The 18,456-nt window shown below is 46.5% G+C and overlaps 1 protein-coding gene and 1 long non-coding RNA gene across 3 annotated transcripts in view, besides 10 other annotated features; one reads left to right on the forward strand and one right to left on the reverse strand.

The window, feature by feature from the left end:
- EZR (ezrin) overlaps positions 1 to 11,721 on the reverse strand; it is a 53,621-nt gene extending 41,900 nt beyond the window's left edge. Inside the window, exons 1-2 of one of the 2 annotated variants that reach the window (NM_001111077.2) lie at positions 11,670 to 11,721; positions 10,435 to 10,519 (exon numbers count right to left, since the gene is read on the reverse strand). In NM_001111077.2, the coding sequence (NP_001104547.1) occupies positions 10,435 to 10,446 (12 nt within the window). In that variant the 5' untranslated portion in view covers positions 10,447 to 10,519; positions 11,670 to 11,721. Of the gene's footprint in view, positions 1 to 10,434; positions 10,589 to 11,669 lie in introns of those variants that run through there. The other variant, NM_003379.5, reaches the window with a different exon arrangement.
- Positions 5,571 to 5,620: an enhancer, noted in NCBI's record as "active region_25365". NCBI's record gives its function as "activates an Ori minimal core promoter by ATAC-STARR-seq in GM12878 lymphoblastoid cells {active_cell/tissue: GM12878}" and the evidence as "EXISTENCE:reporter gene assay evidence [ECO:0000049][PMID:35858748]".
- Positions 8,398 to 8,457: a silencer, noted in NCBI's record as "silent region_17743". NCBI's record gives its function as "represses an Ori minimal core promoter by ATAC-STARR-seq in GM12878 lymphoblastoid cells {active_cell/tissue: GM12878}" and the evidence as "EXISTENCE:reporter gene assay evidence [ECO:0000049][PMID:35858748]".
- Positions 8,740 to 8,789: an enhancer, noted in NCBI's record as "active region_25366". NCBI's record gives its function as "activates an Ori minimal core promoter by ATAC-STARR-seq in GM12878 lymphoblastoid cells {active_cell/tissue: GM12878}" and the evidence as "EXISTENCE:reporter gene assay evidence [ECO:0000049][PMID:35858748]".
- Positions 9,653 to 9,822: an enhancer, noted in NCBI's record as "active region_25367". NCBI's record gives its function as "activates an Ori minimal core promoter by ATAC-STARR-seq in GM12878 lymphoblastoid cells {active_cell/tissue: GM12878}" and the evidence as "EXISTENCE:reporter gene assay evidence [ECO:0000049][PMID:35858748]".
- Positions 10,305 to 10,354: an enhancer, noted in NCBI's record as "active region_25368". NCBI's record gives its function as "activates an Ori minimal core promoter by ATAC-STARR-seq in GM12878 lymphoblastoid cells {active_cell/tissue: GM12878}" and the evidence as "EXISTENCE:reporter gene assay evidence [ECO:0000049][PMID:35858748]".
- EZR-AS1 (EZR antisense RNA 1) lies at positions 10,332 to 14,592 on the forward strand. Its single transcript, NR_102425.1, has 3 exons — positions 10,332 to 10,458; positions 12,825 to 12,946; positions 14,493 to 14,592. It is a non-coding gene; the product is annotated as an EZR antisense RNA 1 (long non-coding RNA).
- Positions 10,565 to 10,764: a silencer, noted in NCBI's record as "silent region_17744". NCBI's record gives its function as "represses an Ori minimal core promoter by ATAC-STARR-seq in GM12878 lymphoblastoid cells {active_cell/tissue: GM12878}" and the evidence as "EXISTENCE:reporter gene assay evidence [ECO:0000049][PMID:35858748]".
- Positions 10,905 to 11,894: a silencer, noted in NCBI's record as "silent region_17745". NCBI's record gives its function as "represses an Ori minimal core promoter by ATAC-STARR-seq in GM12878 lymphoblastoid cells {active_cell/tissue: GM12878}" and the evidence as "EXISTENCE:reporter gene assay evidence [ECO:0000049][PMID:35858748]".
- Positions 11,955 to 12,004: a silencer, noted in NCBI's record as "silent region_17746". NCBI's record gives its function as "represses an Ori minimal core promoter by ATAC-STARR-seq in GM12878 lymphoblastoid cells {active_cell/tissue: GM12878}" and the evidence as "EXISTENCE:reporter gene assay evidence [ECO:0000049][PMID:35858748]".
- Positions 13,876 to 13,975: an enhancer, noted in NCBI's record as "active region_25369". NCBI's record gives its function as "activates an Ori minimal core promoter by ATAC-STARR-seq in GM12878 lymphoblastoid cells {active_cell/tissue: GM12878}" and the evidence as "EXISTENCE:reporter gene assay evidence [ECO:0000049][PMID:35858748]".
- Positions 17,123 to 18,097: an enhancer, noted in NCBI's record as "H3K27ac-H3K4me1 hESC enhancer chr6:159245802-159246776 (GRCh37/hg19 assembly coordinates)". NCBI's record gives its function as "activates a minimal SCP1, AML or CMV promoter by ChIP-STARR-seq in naive H9 embryonic stem cells {active_cell/tissue: H9 hESC(naive)}" and the evidence as "EXISTENCE:reporter gene assay evidence [ECO:0000049][PMID:30033119]".

Consider the following 18,456-nt stretch of genomic DNA (forward strand, 5'->3'; position numbering starts at 1 on the left):
CAGTAAAGAATGAAAGTTAATTCTAGCTCTTGCCAAAGCCTAGGTGAAAATTTACAGTAGCACGCTCACCACCCCCTGACGATGTATTAGACATGTGTCTTTCCCCCTGCAATATAAGCTTCTTGAAAGCAGGTCTTTCTTTCAGGAGGGGCTGAGGAAGGCACGGCTCCCTTTACAACTCCAAACAGAAAGCCCATTTTATTTAGTCAGACCAGCATCTCCTTTCCAGAGCATTTTGCCATTGAGGAAAGGTGGGACAATGTGCATTTCAGGCTCAAATACACATTAGCAGGAAATGGGTTCCACCATTCACTGGATGTGACTGTCAACCAAGCAGGTGATAATCCTTTAAAAGCCTCTTTTTGTTCACCAATGTCTCCCCAGTACCTGAAAACCTGGCACAAAGTAGGTGCTCTATTTGTTGAATGAATGAACTTTATGCAGGGTGGTTGTACAGGTGTACCTAACATCAATAACTTAAGAAGAATGCGTGTGTGGAGTTCCGAGCTAAGGAATCCTAGTGGCCAACCCTGAAATCAATTCCTTATCTATGGGGAACATCTGAACCCCCAGCCCACAAGCACTTTAAGGCTGCCAGGTGGAGGCTGTTAGGGGGAGTATGTTAAGTAAGAATGCTGTGTAAACTGCATGCTTTTTCCAAGCTTTCGGGAAGCAGTTGCTGTTCTGTCCAACCCACCACCACTGGACTGTCCCATATGTAAATTTCCAATAAACCTGATGCTATCCCTGTTGAAGTCAACAGAGGTCTAGCAAGACAGCTGTGTTCATCGTGGCAGCAAAAGGACAAACAACAAGGTTACATTTACTTACTACATTATTTCATCGGGCTGCTAAGTTAGAGGAAAAGAATGACCATCACGAGCTAGTAAAGCTTTTAATCAGATTAGAATTTTATCAGGTACAAGTGGAACCGCACAGCCCTTACTGACCAGGGCCAGGCATAAGGCCAGGTGCTTCCCATGTGCCATCTTAGCAGGCATCCCAGGCGGGCACGCAGGATCTTGTTTACAGATGAGGAGGCAGAGGGAGGTGAAAAAACTTGCCCAAGATTACCCACTAGGAGGCAGGTATGTTTACCTATTTGCTCGTCCTTCTTCCCTCTATTTATCCTGCCAATAAACAAGAATTTAAAGTTTGCTATAAAATAATAATGCTAAACAACAAACAAACAAACTTGGGCCAGGCATAGTGGCTCATGGCTATAATGCCAACACTTTGAGAGACTGAGGCAGGAGGATGGCTTGAGGCCAGGTGTTTGAGACCAGCCTGCACAAAACAGTGTGAAACTTCATCTCTATAGAAATAAAAATAAAAAGATTAGTCAGGTGTGGTAGTGAGCGCCTGCGGTCCCCCAGGAGTTCAAGGCTGTGGTGAGCTATGATTGTACCACTGCACTCGTGCTTGAGCAACAGAGCAAGACCGCATCTCAAAAACACAAAAACAACACCTATCCTCTTGCTTTGCTGCCAGAAAAGACAAAAAGCACAAATAAACAAGCACCTGACAGCGTTATAGGTGGAGACCGAGTTCTATGAGTGCAGTAAAGTGGGGCACGGCACAGAGATGGAGCTGTACTTTAGACAGGGTGTTCTGAATCAGGAATGGACTTACAAAACATCTGCAGTCAGAAATTCACATACAGACTATAGTAGATCAAAAGCTCATTTTAAACTATCAATGAGGAAAAAAGCAATTCATTTACATAACATTCTCTTTCCAACTCAAACATCAGGTACAAATTGCTTTCTTTTAGCATATGCCAGAAATCTGTCATTACACAATAGCTTAGCAAGTGTGACACAAGATACTGCCACTTTCTCTACACAAAGACCCACCCAAACACCAGCTTTGTTTAAAACATTACCTCAGCACCACGATGCCTCTCCTCAGTAGTTTCTGAGTCCATGCTCAGAGTCCATGATGTGCTCAACATTGGCTAACAAAACACATTCTGTTCTTTGAGAACAATTTTTTAAAAACTGGAACCAATGGGGTGGATCTGCTTCCAAATATTAGTCCAGCCATAAAATATATACAAGGTTAGAATAAATGCTTAACAATAATTATTTTTATGCTAGAAGCAGGAGTTGGTCCATTTGTTTCTCTAAAGAGCCAGCCAGTAAGTATTTTAGGCTTTGAGGGTCTTACTTGGAGTCCGTTGCATATTGTTGTTTTTAAAATCCTTCAAAAATATAAAAACCATTTTTAGCTGGGAGACCAAATAAAAACAGGCCACAGCCAGACTCGGCCCTAAGATGATAGTTTACCTACCCCATCCTAAAGTAAAAACAATTATTTACAGTATCTGAAATGACAACTGTCCACACAGGCAGTTTAAAATTGATCTCTCAGGCAAAAATGGAAAACAAAATTAGGTTGCAGAAGTGACTTCTAACTTAAAAATATGAGCAAAATCTGATATACTGACTACTAGAGTTTGATCCTCAGGTGATACTGGTTCCTCTCCTATCAATAAAAGGTGGGTCATGGTGAGATATTTTTTATTTTGCTTTTAAGGTTTTGTTTTCAAGTATATTAGATTAAAAGGATAACTTAATGAAGTTTTACATTTCCTTTGAAACAGCATTACTGTTTGCCTGTAAGTGTTAAGAACGGGTTAATGAATAAAGGAAAACAGAACTGACCACTGCTGACTGGGAAGCCCACATCCCTCCACACTTACCCAAAGGATCTTACCAGCCGGGAGGCCCTCCCTGGTCTCCAGGGCACACTTCTCTTCTGTGAAGACCTCTATCATGCACTACACTGCATTGTAATTGCTTACATATCTGCTTTCACTAGGAGACTGAGAACTCCTTAAAGGCAAAACCAATCTTATTTTTATTGTCCCTGCACCAAGCACATAATGGGATATAATAGCGCTTCAAAACATGAAGGTGGTACCCATGTGACTGATAAGGGAATTCCGACTAGAACACACAGAGAGAGGATGGACATGAGACAAAATCAGAGTCCTCCCTTTTACTAAGATAACCCAAACTGTTCATATTGCTTTTTCCTTGAGAAGACCAATGGACAAACTTTACCCGTTTATAGGAACCCAGAGTTTTTACCTAACAGGGTTAAGTTTGAAAAACATTTGCGGGGTAGGGAAACACAAAAGAAACACATAAAGCTTACAGCATCTTAAGATGAGTTGTTTGGATTTCACTGATAAAAACTTTGTCTCCGTTTATCTTATGTAACATTCTTTCCACTTAAAAACTAACTCCCATTTTACGGCTGACGAAATTTAGGTTCACAGATGCTAAATGGCTTCCCCAAATACAGGTAAGCAGTAAATTAGCTATGAAATTCTCTTTATAGCTCTTTGTGGTTTCATTTTGAAAAAAATTATGTGTATTAACTATATCAAGCATTTCAGTCAAAAGTCTCTAAGTCACATTATAGCACAAGGGTTTTGTTTGGTTCTGAAAACTACCCAAGTCTGGAAAAATCTTTTTATGTCAACAGGCATGGATGGTAAATACATCAGAAGGAAAATAATGCAAACTTTGGTCTTTTCAACACACATTTACTGCTGAAATTAAAAACTAATTGGAGTACTTGGGGAGTCTCAAGGTAGTTACTACTGAAATGAAATAAGGGATAATTCAAAATGCATTCACTGACTTTGAAAGCAGACTGAATTTCACTGCTTCAGAATAGAGCTGAAACATCTAACTACCATTAGAAAGCAGACTGAATTTCACTGCTTCAGAATAGAGCTGAAACATCTAACTACCATTAGAAAGCAGGTATATCAAACCACCCTAAGAATCTCCAAATTGTCAAAGAGATATAAAAGTTTAAGTTAAAAAAATTAAGAAAAAAATTATAGTTCACTAAATGATACTGTTTTCCTTTCCCAAACTATAATTATTCAACATTTGTTAGAAATCACATTATCAGCCAGGCATGGTGGCTCACACCTATAATCTCAACATTTTGGAAGGCCAAGGTAGGAGGATAGCTTGAGCTCAGGAATTTGAGACTAGCCGCCTGGGCCACACAGTGAGATCTTGTTTCACAAAAAAATAAAAAATTAGCTGGGTGTGGTAGTGTGTGCCTGTGGTCCCAGTTACCCAGGAGGCTGAGGTGGGAAGATCACTTGAGCCAAGGGTGGGGGCCGGGGCACTGAGGCTGCAGTGAGCTGTGACTGTGCCACTGCACTCCAGCCTGGGTGACAGAGTGAGACCCTGTTTCCAAAAAAAAAAAATTCACATTATTTCATTAACAAAAGAGGCCAGTGTGGAAGGAATAAAAGAGGAACAAGGAATGGGATCTCTTACTTCCCTACCATTTATAGGGAAGGTCTAGCCTCTTTTTTTCTCTTTGAAAACAAAGAGCCAAAATGTGAGAGACCACTGGGCACTGCCAAATGAAGCTGTTACTGGACTCCCTGCAGAGAGAAACTCAAGTCAGAAGAATATTATGTTGAATGGCCTGCCCAAGTATAGGTAAGCAGTAAATTAGCTATGAAATTCTTGTTTTTATGGCTCTTTTTCACAGAGTCATCCTAGCCCCTATTCGAGTCCCAAATACCAATAACAGCACTCCTGGCATTTCAGCCGGACTGTAAGGCGGCTGGGCATCAAGTGACTGCTTTCACCCAAATGGGTGCTCTGAAATCACACTGGGCTTGATTGGGGTGCAGGAGAAAGGAATATATAATAACTGCCCTTTTCCTATTGAATCAGCAGTACCATCTGGAGAGCTTATTTAAAACATAAGCACCCAGCCTGCACCTCACCCTAGAGATGGAAGTCATTAGTTCTTCAAGGGACCCAGGAATCAACAGTCTCCAGACAATTGTGTACACAAAATTTTGAGAACACTGCACTAAATTAACCCTTCCTCTTAACTTTAGGTATGTACGGTGTGTACATATACTAGGGAAAACAAAAAGCTACTGAATTATTTGGATTTAAAAATAACGTAGTTTAAGGAGTCTGGTCCTTTAATATTTTGGGGGGCAGTGGATGTAGTAATGAAAGAAGGCAAGGACTTTTTTCATCAACGATTGTCACAAACTTATTAACATGTAACAACAAATCCAGACTCCCCACCTTCCCCCACACCTGGTCCTTCTCCAGGATTACTTACCTCAGCGATGGCACCACCACACATCCACTTGCGCAAGCCAGAAACGAGAAGTCAGCCTCGACACCACCCTTGGCCCTGCATATCCAACCCATCACCAGGCACTATCAATTCTACCTCCCAAAGAACTCTCAAATGCATCCACTTCTGTTCCCACCACCACCACCTTGGTCCAAGCTATGAGCTCCCTCAATGGTCTACCATAACTACCCTTGCTGTCTCCTGCCTCCTGTGATTTTCCTATTACAGATCACAGTCAACTTTTCAAAAGGCAAATCTGATCATGTCACCTCCCAGTCAAAACCCCAAGTTAAACTAAAAAACACCCAAGAATGGCTTACAAGGCATGGCCTGACCTGTCTTCCTCTCTAGCCACATTGGGCTTCATGTGAAACCCCAAACTCACACTACTTCCTCCCACCACAGGGCCTTTGCACACGTTGTTACCTCTGCCCAGGGAGGTCACGTCCTCAAGGATGCCTTCCTGACCTCCCCTATTTGCACCCCCACCAGCACATACACACTTCATCTACTCTCAGGCCTCATGTACCCCTCTTCAGGCATACTCTCTGAAGCTGCAGTTTTACATTTACTCTGGGATTGCTGTCTGTCCCCGAAACCAGACTGTAAATCCACTGACAGGGACTGTGTCTGTGAACATCCAAATACATTCATTGTGCCTTACAGCGTGATCATGGCAAATCACTCATCCTACCAGCACCTCTCACTGCCACATGGCAAAATGTTAGCTACCTAATTCACCACTGCCCCTCGTGGAGGAGGAGGGGTGGAAACAGATGCTACGCATCCTCCTCAATTGCGAGGGGATTGTGAGGGGGGAGTACATTCAGTAAACTGTCCCTGTTAAAATATTTAATAGAAAAGGTTATGTATTCCCAAAGAGGCAAGGTAATCTCAGAAATTACCTTAAAATTTTGGCACAGTAGAAATGTGAACACACTTTCAGAGTTTTCCTAATGAAAGGTAAACCTGCTTTTGTATTAGAAATGTCTATAACACTTCAGAAATGAACAGGTAAGATGTGTTGGAGCCACTTAAAGGCAGTTCAGCTCTATGGTTCTCATGACAGCTTAAAGAGATCTCAGCCCTGAACACAATCCCCTTTTCCTTCCAGAGCTTAACTACAGCAGTGTTCCTTGCTCACTCCCCATGCCTTCTTTCCACTGGGCAGAAGAAAGCAAGTGTGGGAGAAAGGCGCTCCGCAGTCACCCTAACATGAAGGGGCGGGCAGAGAGGATGCTTCCGGGACCAATGATCTGAGCACCAACTCCTACAACTCTCCCTAGATGGGGCAGACCCACAAGGCCACACAGCACACCATGTCCTGGGGACTGGCCTGAACAGAGGCCAAGGCTCCCTCTGGAACCCCAAATCACCCTCCTTGGACGTCAGCCAGTCACACATGAATAGAGTCCCTAAGCAGCTGTGGGAAAAGCAAAACCAGACAACAAACCACAGCTGTTCCTCCCTGTGGAGTGCTGCCGCGTGCGCCCCCCAGCCCTCAAGCAAGATTCAGCTGAAGTGTTACTTCTCAATACAGTCTGCCAATTTCCCCATCAGATGATTTTCCTTTCCCCATCAGATTTTCCTCTCGACGTTACCTAGGCTCTTTCCCAGTCTGACAGCACTTAGCGGGTTTTCAATTTCAGCATTTACCCCGCATCTTGGCCCAGGTACCAGACACTAAGCTTCCAGAGAACAAGGTCTGCCTCGCCCTCTGTGCAGGTCACTCCGCTTGCTGATGAATAAAGTCTTTTTTTTTTTTTTTTTGAGACAGAGTCTCACTCTGTCGCCAGGCTGGAGTGCAGTGGTGCAATCTCAGCTCACTGCAACCTTCACCTCCCAGGTTCAAGCGATTCTCCTGCCTCAGCCTCCCAAGTAGCTGGGACTACAGGCATCCATACCACGCCCGGCTAATTTTTGTATTTTTAGTAGAGATGGGGTTTCACCATGTTGACCAGGATAGTCTTGATCTCTTGACCTTGTGATCCGCCCACCTCGGCCTCCCAAAGTGCTGGGATTACTGCCATGAGCCACTGTGTACCGCCTCAGTCTTTTAAGTAACTGTTGCTTTTGGGAAACAGTATTAGGAGAAAACACAGGAAATGAGTATTTTCAGTTATACTGTTTTATGAATAAAGTCATCCACTCACTCAGTTCAGGCAAATCAATCAAAAATACTTTGCCCGTTGAATTCAAGGGTTAACAGTTGCAATGAATCAGGTGGAAGGCCAACTACTCAGAGGTATCCATCCTTTAAGTGTGTTTGCCCCTTAATCCAGTTGTTAAACATTAAGCCCAAGAAAACCACCTAACATTCTTCGCTAACATTCTTAACTTAGGCTTGAATAATTAGAATCAATAAACCTTTGTTTAAAGGACACATCCACAGAGCTGTTGGTGGATGTTTCATTTTAACATTTACTAAGGCAGCAAAAAAACCCCAAACCAAACCAAAACTAACTGGATCCTCTCTAACAGCCTTAAGAAATGTCATATTCAAATATGTGCAACCTACGATGCTCTTCTCAGTGATTTGTGGGATGGCTCTAATATAATTTACACACAGAAAGGCTTAGTGTGTTTAACTTATCTCTAAGACCCTCCTCTGCCAAAGAGGGGGCAGGGAGAAATTTCCCATGGCAGACAGGTATGGCTGACCTAAAAGGAAGCCTCTCAAAAAAGGGGTTTTGTTTGTTTTCAGACAACATCTCACTCTGCTGCCCAGGCTGGAATGCAGTGGCTTGATCTTAGTTCACTGCAGCCTTGACCTCCAGGGCTCATCAAGCAATCCTCCCACTTCAGCCTCAGTCAGAGCGCCAGCCACCACACCCAGATAATTTTTCTATTTTTTGTAGAAACAGAGTCTATGTTGGCCAGGCAAGTCTCGAACTCCTGGGCTCATGTGATCTGCCTGCCTCAGCCTCCCAAAGTGCTGGGATTACAGGCTCGTGCCTGTAATCAGGCCACCTCGCCTGGCCTCAAAAAAAGTTTAAAAATTTTAATTGTAGATATTATACAGAATACAGTCTTTCAAAGAGTAACTCTGGCTCTAATACACAAGGTGATGGCTACTGTCTTTCCTTAACAGTTTCACAACTATCTTCACTTTATCAAATGTCAGAAACATCTTTTAAGTTCTGATCTATCATAAAAGACCTCTAAAACAAAATGAAATGAAAACATACCTGCCATAAGAAATAAGAGAGAGAAGGGAGTTCTGACATTGCAACATGGATGAACCTTGAAGACATTATGCTACAGGAAATGAGACTGTCACAAAAGGACAAATGCTATCACGATTCCACCTGCATGAGGTATCTAAAGTTGTCGAATTCATAGAGACAGAAAGTAGAATGGTGGTTGCCAAGGGCTGGTGGTGGGGATGGGGAGGGAGAGTTTAATAGGTACAGAGTTTCAATCTGGGAAGATAAAGTTCTGGAGATGGACCTTGGTGATGGCTATGTAACAATGTAAATGTACTTAATACCTTGAAATGTAAACCTAAAAGTAAGAGGATAAACTGTATATTTTACCAAAATACAAAAAAGAAACCATAAAAATAAATTACCATTCATTATGAGAAATGAGAAAGAAAAGTAGTGACGGAGAACAGGTTAACTTTTTCCTGAGTGCTATCTTAGCTGAGCTCTGCACCTCTTCTTTTAGTGAAATAAAGAAAACCACACCCAGAAGGGTAATCTTCTTGACCACTCCTCCGCATACCGTTGCACTCAGCTCTGCCTGAGTAAGGGGTTGTACTTAGGTCAGTTTCATACCACATGCACTGTCAAGCCTCGATGTCACGTGTCACTTTTAAGTTTGAATTAAAAAGAAAAATTTTGTATAGAAAATACTCTGCATCACAAATGAATCATCTTGATGTAACTTAGGCAAAAATTATATTGGCTTCTGAATCTACTGGCATATTAATTCTTTATCCTAACAGCAAAATTAATACCTCTAACAAAGATCTTAGAGAACATAAAATGTAACAGAAGAAGCACACAAGGCCGGGTGTGGTGGCTCACGCCTGTAATCCTAGCATTTTGGGAGGTCGAGGTAGGCAGATCACCTGAGGTCAGGAGTTTTAGACCAGCCTGGCCAACATGGTGAAACCCCCTCTCTATAAAAATACAAAAACCAGCTGGGCATGGTGGCACATGCCTGTAATCCCAACTACTCGGGAGGCTGAGGCAGGAGATTCGCTTGAACCTGAGAGGCAGAGGTTGCAGTGAGCCGAGATCATGCCACTGCACTCCAGCCTGGGCCACAGAGAGAGACTCCGCTCCCCCATCCCCCACAAAAGGCACACAAGCATTGATTACAGAACCAACTTGTTTGAAAAACCAAAAAAAAATTCCAGATGTATCTGTAATCCCAATTTGTAATGAATCCTGATATTTTGTCCATTGTGATTCAAAACTCAAAAAATGTTAAACCTTCCCCCTAATGTCTAGTCACCAGTTCCCCAGTGTTAAAAGCAGGTAGAATACATACAACTTTCTAAGAAGCGTCAGTCCCAGAGAACCTGCCTTGTGCCTACAACCCCCAGGTCTCGCCAGCAATCTCAACACAATCAGATTCAAGGAGACAGAGGCGCAGGCACAGCCCTTTCATCAGCTGACCAGGAGTGCTCGGCCCGGCCTGCCAGGAACCTCTTATCAAACTCCACCGGCTGCCTGCATCTACAATTCAAGTCCATGGCTAACCTTCTGTTAGAGACAGAAATTCTGCTGCAGCCAGCAAGTTTGCTGGTGTACAGGGCACCGCTTCATGGGCCTAGTAGGAAGCGAAGCTGAAAGGCAACTTCCGAAAGCCAGTCTCCTCTCCCAAACGCCCTTTAATATCTCCCCAGTTGGATCTGGGGCGCCTGTGGTTTCGGACCCTTAGGAGCTCTGAGAACTGGTGTGTGTGGTCGGAAGCCATCTGAGTCTCCCTGTGATTTGGACTTTTTAAGAAACTTCTAAGTTGTATTACTATACCCTTTAAAAACAGACGGAAGCAGTGTAAAAAGGCCTCTAGTTTTTAGAAAAGACCGTAACTACTGGGGAGGGGGCTCACAAAGAAAAAGACTGCAGAGAAAAGCATCAAAATGGTGTTTTCCTAACGCTCCACAAAAGGGTCAACAAGTAACAAAGAGCGGCGAAAACCTCCTCCTATTCCTATCGTCTTCTGCGTGTGAGAAGAACCCTGTTCCCCAGGAACTGCCCCAACACCTCGAGCAGGTGCCTCCCCTCTCCAATGAAGCCTCTCCCGTCCGCCCGGCCCAGAAACTGGGCAACTTACTGGTTTCGGCATTTTCGGTTTCTGGTGAGTATCCTCGATCCCCGAAAACACGACTATCCAGCAGCAGCGAAGACGCTGTCCCAACCTGGAGTCAGAGCAGAACCCTTAGAGCGCCCGCCCGCCCTGCCTCGTCCTCCTGCCGCGCCCGACACTCGGCGCCCGCAGCGCGCTGCCGCTTAAGAACCGGCCAGCCCGGGCCCGGGTGAGTCAGCGCCCCGCCCAGCACTGCGGGCATGGGGAGGGGGCACGGGCGGGGCGGGGCCGGGCCGGGCCCCCGGCGAGGAGGCGCCCGAGAGCGGGGGCGCGCGCCCAAGGGGCAGCCGGCGGGCACTGGAGGTGCCCCCCAGTTGGGGGTGGGTCCGAGGAGAGGGGGTGCGCACCCAGGGGACCCCCAGCATGAAGGGGCTGGTGGGGGGCGCAGGCCCGGGAGAGAGAGGGCAGGGGGAACACTCAGTGGGGAGGATCGGGGGGAGGGGGCGCGGGCCCCGGGGAACACTCGGCCAGGAGGGTCAGGGGAGAGAGCGCCGGCCGGGCGGGGAGGGGTCTGGGGGACACTCGAGGTGCACCCAGCGGAGAGAGGCGGAGAAGAGGGGGCGCGGGCCCAGGGATACCCGGCGGGGAAAGGCCCGGGGAGAGGGAGCGCGCGCCTGGGAGAGAGAGGGCGAGGGGCAGGAGGAACACCTAGGAGGAAGGAGTCCCGGGACAGCCAGCGCGAGCCCGCGGGGCACCCGACAGGGAGGGGTCAGGGGAGAGGGGGCACAGGGCGGGCGGGGGGGCACTCGCTGGGGAGGGATCCGTGGAGAGGGGGCGCGGGCTCGGGGTCCGCCGAGGAACTTCCCGGGGCTGCCAGGAAGCCCGTGAGAAGCCGAGCACTCGGCAAGTTTCACTTTGTGTAGCAACCGTTGCCCCGCGGCTGCAGTCACAACCGTCAAGCCTTTGAGAAACTCTTTCAAAAACTGCAACCGCTCGGGAGCCGCCGAGGGACGGCGCCCAGGCACCCAGGCTCCGCGTTTCCTTCGGGAGAGACCTGAGGGGACCCGGCGCCGAGGGGAAGGTCGCGGGGCCGCGGGCCGGCTCAGCTCCACCTGCCCCGGGGGTGCCGGGCGAGAACCCCGCGCCGCGCCCCCTAGGCTGCCCGCCGCACCTGCCGCCGAACCCCGCCGCCCGCCCGGGCCCTCCACCAGGAACCCCCCGCCCAGAACCCCCGTCCCGACCCCGGCCGCCGCACGCCTCACCCGGCGCCTGCAGTGCTCCGTGTGCTCCCCGCCGCCCTTGCGTCCGCCGAGTGCGCTCGCTGCCCGCGCTCCCAAAAGCCCCGGCGGGGCGGGTCCCGGGACCACGCCCCTTCCCGCCCAGCTCCCGACCTGTGAGGTGCGCCCCCCGCAAGATGGCGGCAGCCGGGCCTCGGGCTGGGTGGGGGCGGAACTTGGCGGAAGTGCGCGCTACTCCCCTCGCAGATGCAAGTGGGGAGGCTGTTTGTCCCACAGCGGGCAGGGGGAAGTCAGGAAAACGTAAATAAATCTGGAGGGGCGGACGGCTTGGGGGAATCGCTGGACCGCTTGGGGCCGGGACCGGGGGCCAGTTCCGAGGCCTCGGCCCTGGGGCGGCTGCACCTGGCCCCGAGTCTCGGTGCACGTGGCCGGCCCAGCCGCCGCCTTTCCGAAGCTCTGGTTAAGTGGCACGTTTGTGGCCTCTTTTGACGTGACTGGCAAAAAGCTCCATGGGATTTCTCTGAAATTCTAGGAATTAAGTTTTTTTGTTTGTTTTTTTGCTAATGGTTCTCAACAAATTTTTAAGACACACAAAACACATACTTTGGGGGCCAGTAGAATTTGCTGCGGGAGAGCTCACTCTAGAAGGGGTTCTCAACGTCTGGCTTCCAGACGAGCAGCAACAGCATTCACTGGGAACTTGCATAAGTGGAAATTAGGTGTTGCTCAGCCTTAGGATTCAGAAACTCTAGGGCTGAGCCCAGCAATCAGTGTGTTACAAGCCCTTCGGGTGATTGTGATGTTGGCTAAAGGTTGAGACCAGAGCTTCTCCTGAATTCCTCTCCTGGGTTTACTCCTCCCTTTCTGCTTTTAGTTTTCTTGTTTGTAAAGCGGCATAATTATGGCACCTGTATCAGAGGGTTCTAATGAGGATAATGAGTTAGTACATGTACGATGCCTGGAACAGTACCTGACACTTAGTAAGCACTTAAATCTATCCTGGTAGAAAGAGAAACCAATGACTTTGGGCGAAGTTCCAAACTCTGTTTCCCAATTTGTTGAGTGAACATACTAGTAGCCCCACCTACATAGACTTGTAAGGATTAAATGAGATCGTGCATGTGGAATGCTTAACTCGTGCTAGCCTCATAGTAATTGATGCTTAACCTGTCTTCCTAGGGACACACTGCTGTTTGGGCAACCCTTTGTCAGGGCCTGTTATCTCCCACTTGCAGATCCAGGGCATTTCAGAGGTCAGAGAGAGGAGGGAGGCCTCTTCTGAGATTTTGACCTCTATTCAGGTAAGTGTATTCCCTCTGAAAGACTGAACTTTTCTTTCCCTTTTTTTTTTAGACGGAGTTTTGCTCTTCTTGCCCAGGCTGGAGTGCATTGGCGCAATCTCAGCTCATTGCAACCTCCATCTCCCAGGTTCAAGCAATTCTCCTGCCTCAGCCTCTTGAGTAGCTGGGATTACAGACACCCGCCACCAAGCCCAGCTAAATTTTTGTATTTTTAGTAGAGACGGGGTTTCACCATGTTGGCCAGGCTGGTTTTGAACTCCTGACCTCAGGTGATCTGCTCACCTCGGCCTCCCAAAGTGCTAGGATTACAGGCGTGAGCCATCACTCCTGGCCTGAATTTCTTTTTTATTAAAATGAAGTTATAGGCCGGGCGCTGTGGCTCATGCCTGTAATCCCAGCACTTTGGGAGGCCGAGGCAGGTGGAACACCTGAGGTCAGGAGTTCAAGACCAGCCTGACCAACATGGAGAAACCCCGTCTCTACTAAAAATACAGAATTAGCTGGGTGTGGTGGCGCACGCCTGTAGTCCCAGCTACTCGGGAAGCTGAGGCAGGAGAATGGTGTGAACCCGGGAGGCAGAGCTTGCAGTGAGCTAAGATCGCACCATTGCACTCCAGCCTGGGCAACAAGAGTGAAACTCCGTCTCAAAAATAAATAAATAAATAAATAAAATGAAGATATAATGGTAACTGCAGTAGAAAGAAAACTATGAAAGATATTTAAATTACCTGCACTGATAATGTTTCCAACTGGACATCAATACCTCCACTGCCTTATCACTGCCTGGAGCCTGGTTAGCCAGTTTGGGTTCCCAACTCTCATAATAGGATATGCCTCTAATCTAATTTTTATCTCGCTCCATTTGAAGTATACTGTCTTCTAAATTGAATGTTTGAAATAGCGGTGCCCCAAGACCTTGAAGAGCATTTCTGAACTTTACCCTTTAGGGGAATGCCAAAAAATGAAGTGGCCTGTGGCAGTGTGGTAAAAATGAAACGGCCAGGTGCGATGATTCAAGCCTGTAATCCCAGCACTTTGGGAGGCTGAGGCGAGCAGATCACCTGAGGTCAGGAGTTCGAGACCAGCCTGGCCAACGTGGGGAAACCCCATCTCTACTAAAAATACAAAAAATTAGATGGGCATGGTGGTGCACGCCTGTAACCCCAGCTACTCGGGAGCCTGAAGCAGGAGAATCACTTGAAACCAACCGTGAGGCAGAGGTTGCAGTGAGCTGAGATCGCACCATTGCATTCTAGCCTGGGCAACAACAGCGAAACTCTGTCTCAAAAAATAAATAAAATAAAATAAAAATGAAACGATGGCAGGTTTTTGAGGCAAACAGAGCTAAGTCTGAATTCTGCTTCCTGCAAACTGACCAACCTGGTCCGTTCGGGCAAGTCTGTCAACCTGACTGAGCATCCATCTCTTCATCTGTAAAATGGAAAGGATAATATGTATTTCATGGTATTCTTGTGTCACTGAATCATATCATATGAGCATTTGACTCACTCAACTTTTATGTACAATTAGCCCTCTGTATTTGTAGGTTCTACATTCATGGAATCAGCCAACCTTGGATGGAAAAGATTTGGAAAATAATAAAAATAATACTACAATTAAAATACCAATAAAAATCCAATACAGAATATAGTATAACAAGTATTTACATTATATTACATATTATAAGTAATCTGGAGATGATTTAAGATATACAGGAGGATTTTGTACATTATATGCAAATACTGTACCCTTTTATGTCAGGAACTTGATCATTGGAGAATTTTGGTATCCTCAGAGGTCTTGGAACCAATCCCCTGTGGATACAGAGGGATGCTATATAATCTTTCTTACATAAGTTAAAATAGTATAAAGTCATATTTGTACATGCATTCCTTATCATGTATCTTACATTACTGTAAGTATGACAACATAGCATTTACATGTTACTGTACTGTTCTGCCCACCAAGGAAACACTTACAGTGTATCTTATGAATGTTTTAAGATTTTCTAAGGGTAATTTATTTTCATCAGGGTTTGGAACCTAAACCCCTGCCCCCAGCACACACACAGAAGACTCAACTCCAGCTGTGTTGAAACTTGAATATGCATTAGAATCACTCATAGTGCCCTTCTCCAGGACTTATGGCTCACTAAGACTAAGTCTCAGGCAGCCCCTGGGAATCTGTTTCTTTAACAAGTCCCCACGTGGTTTTGATGATGTACACCACAATTTGAGAACAACTGACTTAGGATGTGGCAGGACCTTGACGCATATTTCACTTGCCTCTCCTTTTAGCCCTCATTTGTGAAGCTGTTCCTTGTGTTTGAAAGTCATCCTTTTGTTAATATATGATACTCAGTGCCTTGGAAGGAAGTGAGGAAACACTGGAGCCAGGACTACTGGAAACTTCCCTGCTGTTAGTTTAGGTATAAGACCTTGAATGACCCTTCATTGCCGGGTTTCCATTTTCCAGTTTTTCAGCTAGAGAAGGGTAATCCTAAGTCTGCCTCTTGAGCCTGGTGAAGGGCTGTTGGTAATTTCCTGGGAGTTCTTCAGACAAGGTTAAAACTAAAGTGAGGAAGGGCAGCCCTCCCGGAAGCTCAGAACAGTGTCACGGACTAGAACCATTGTACCCAGAACAGTCACATCCACTGATACAGGAGATTTCTATCAAATCACCTTGGAGCCTGTCTCCACACTGGTGCCGGGTTAATCTCAACCAGTAACAAAAAAGTGACCAAAGCTCTATCTAGCTGTAGTCACTTCAAAAGAACAGTCAGTAGGCAGTGGGGAAATACATAAAGAGTACTCTTGGCAAAACAAGGATTGGGGTTATTTTCCACCCTTAATAACCTTGGGGGAAAATGCAAGACGGTGACTAAATCTGGAGGATAGGGCGATGACACAGTGAGAGAAGCATAGAGGTTTCCACTGTCTTGGTAATACTTGACTAAGGTGCCTGGTAGTCCACGGGTTTCCTTTATAGCCTCCTTCCTACCTCTTTATTGGTCTGAAATTTTTATTTTATTGTATTTTATTTATTTTTGAGACAGGATCTCACTCTGTCACCCAGGCTGGAGTGCAGTGGTGTGATCTCTGCTCACTGCAACCTCCACCTCCCAGGCTCAAGAGATCCCCACACCTCACCCAAGTAGCTGGGACTATAGGCGACGCCACCACACTGGGCTAGTTTTTGTATTTTTTGTAGGGATGGGGTTTCACCATGTTACCCAGGCCGGTCTTGAACTCCTCAGGTGATCCACCCACCTCAGCCTCCCAAAGTGTCGGAATTACAGGTGGGAGCCACTGTACCTGGCCTGAAATGTTTATTTAAGAAAAAAAAAAGACAGTAAGCATTTCATTGGCTGAGATGATAGCTACAGAGAAACATTTCATGGAATCATAAAGTTCTATGAACTTGGCATGCAAATTCCTAATATCATCTAACATTCCTTTTTGACTTTGGGAAGGGTGACCAATCCTTTCAGAGTGGGTGAGCAAGCACAGGAACAACTAAGGACTCAGACAAGCTGATAAGTGGCCGTTCGGTGGAGTCCAAATACGTTGTATTCAGAAGGAATATTTAAGGCCAGGCTCAGTGGCTCACGCCTGTAATCCCAGCACTTTGGGAGACCAAGGAGGACAGATCACCTGAGGTCAGGAATTCAAGACCAGCCCGGCCAACATAGTGAAACCCCATCTCTACTCAAAATACAAAATCAACTGAGTGTGGTGGCACGTGCCTGTAATCCCAGCTACTTGGGAGGCTGAGGCACGAGAATCCCTTGAACCCAGGAGGTGGAGGTTGCAGTGAGCTGAGATGGCACCATTGCGCTCCAGTCTGGATGACAGAGCAAGACTCTGTCTCAATTTAAAAAAAAAAAATGTTTAAGGATCTTTATAGTATACTAAGCTAGGAAGAGTGTCTTGGTACTGTTTTGAAGAGTGTCTTGGTACTGTTTTGAAGAGTGTCTTGGTACTGTTTTGATGGCACAACTTACATAATTTGGGTCTGCTAAGAAGAATTCTGGCCACTAACTGTTCTATTTTAATTGTTTCCTTGGCTTATTTAATAATTTGCACAAATATCCTTAATAACTTCTGTGTAAAAGAGAACTAGTGGCTGGGCACAATGGCTCAAACCTGTAATTCCAACAGTTTGGGATGCAGAGGTGGGAGGATCACTTAAGCCCAGGAGTTTGAGAGCAGCCTGGTCAACAGAAGGACACCCTGTCTCTACCAAAAAAAAAAAAAAAAAAAAAAAAAAGAACAAGTACTGATGATCACACAACCTGTTTGACTAATAAACTCCCAAATAGGACAGCTTTCTTTATTATGATTTCTTTTCTTTTTTTTTAGTAGAGACGGGGGTTTCTCCATGTTGGTCAGGCGGGTCTTGAACTCCCAACCTCAGGTGATCCACCCACCTCAGCCTCCCAAAGCGCTAGGATTACAGGCGTGAGCCACCGGCCCAGCCTATTATGATTTCTTATCCTTGATCATTGTTTTGTTCCCCCACCCACACTTGCCCCCTTTTGTTTTTGAGACAAGGTCTGGCTCTGTCACCCAGCCTGGAGTGCAGCAGCACAGTCTGGGCTCACTGCAACTTCAGCCTGCTGGGCTCAAGCCAACCTCCCACCTCAGCCTCTCAAGTAACTAGGACTACAGGCATGCGCCACCACCAGCTAATTTTTGTATTATTTGTAGACACAAGGTTTTGCCATGTTGCCCAGGCTGGCCTCGAACTCATGAGCTCAAGCAATCTGCCCGCCTTGGCCTCCAAAGTGCTGGGATTAAAGGCATGAGCCACCCAGCTTGGCCTCTTTCCCCGTTTTTTGAAAAAAAAGTATGTGGCATAATGGGGTAGTTGGAAGCTTAAACCTCCTCTATTCGGATACTCTCATTTGACAGAGGAACCGGGCCCCAAAAGATTAAACTGATTGTCCTCATTCCTGCACTTAAACTTCTCTTGTCAATATTAACATTACCTCCATCTTGCTGAATCCAGAGGCCAAACCTCTTGGCCTCATCTGACCCTTCTCCTAAGCAGCTTTCCACATGTCCAACCATTCCCTGAGCATATTTTGTGCTTAGGATTTCTGTGCTTTCTCTTCTCTTCCCCTCTGGGTCCTTCCCAGCCCTTATCTATGTACGAATTCTTCCCCTAGGTCATGTAGCCTGATCCCAAGGCTTCAGTCACGTCCCCAGCCCTGCCTTTTCCCCCAGCAACAACCGTCTATTGGTGTCTCCAGGGTTCTTGTTTGTTCAAGAACTTCCTCCCTCCTAGCCTCCCTGTTCTCAGCAAAGAGCTCCACCACACACGCTGTTACATGGCCCCAAACCTAGAGGTAACCTGCATTCTCTTTTTGCCTCAACCCCATTTTATCCTTCACCCCTGTGCCTCCAGTCCAGCAGACCAAACAGCCACATTTCCCGGCTAGGTCAGATGGTGCACGCCTGGGTTTGGGGATAAAATTCAAACTCCTCCTTGGCCGGGAGTGCATCGGC

This window comes from Homo sapiens, chromosome 6 (assembly GCF_000001405.40).
Source record: "Homo sapiens chromosome 6, GRCh38.p14 Primary Assembly".
NCBI lineage: Eukaryota > Metazoa > Chordata > Mammalia > Primates > Hominidae > Homo > Homo sapiens.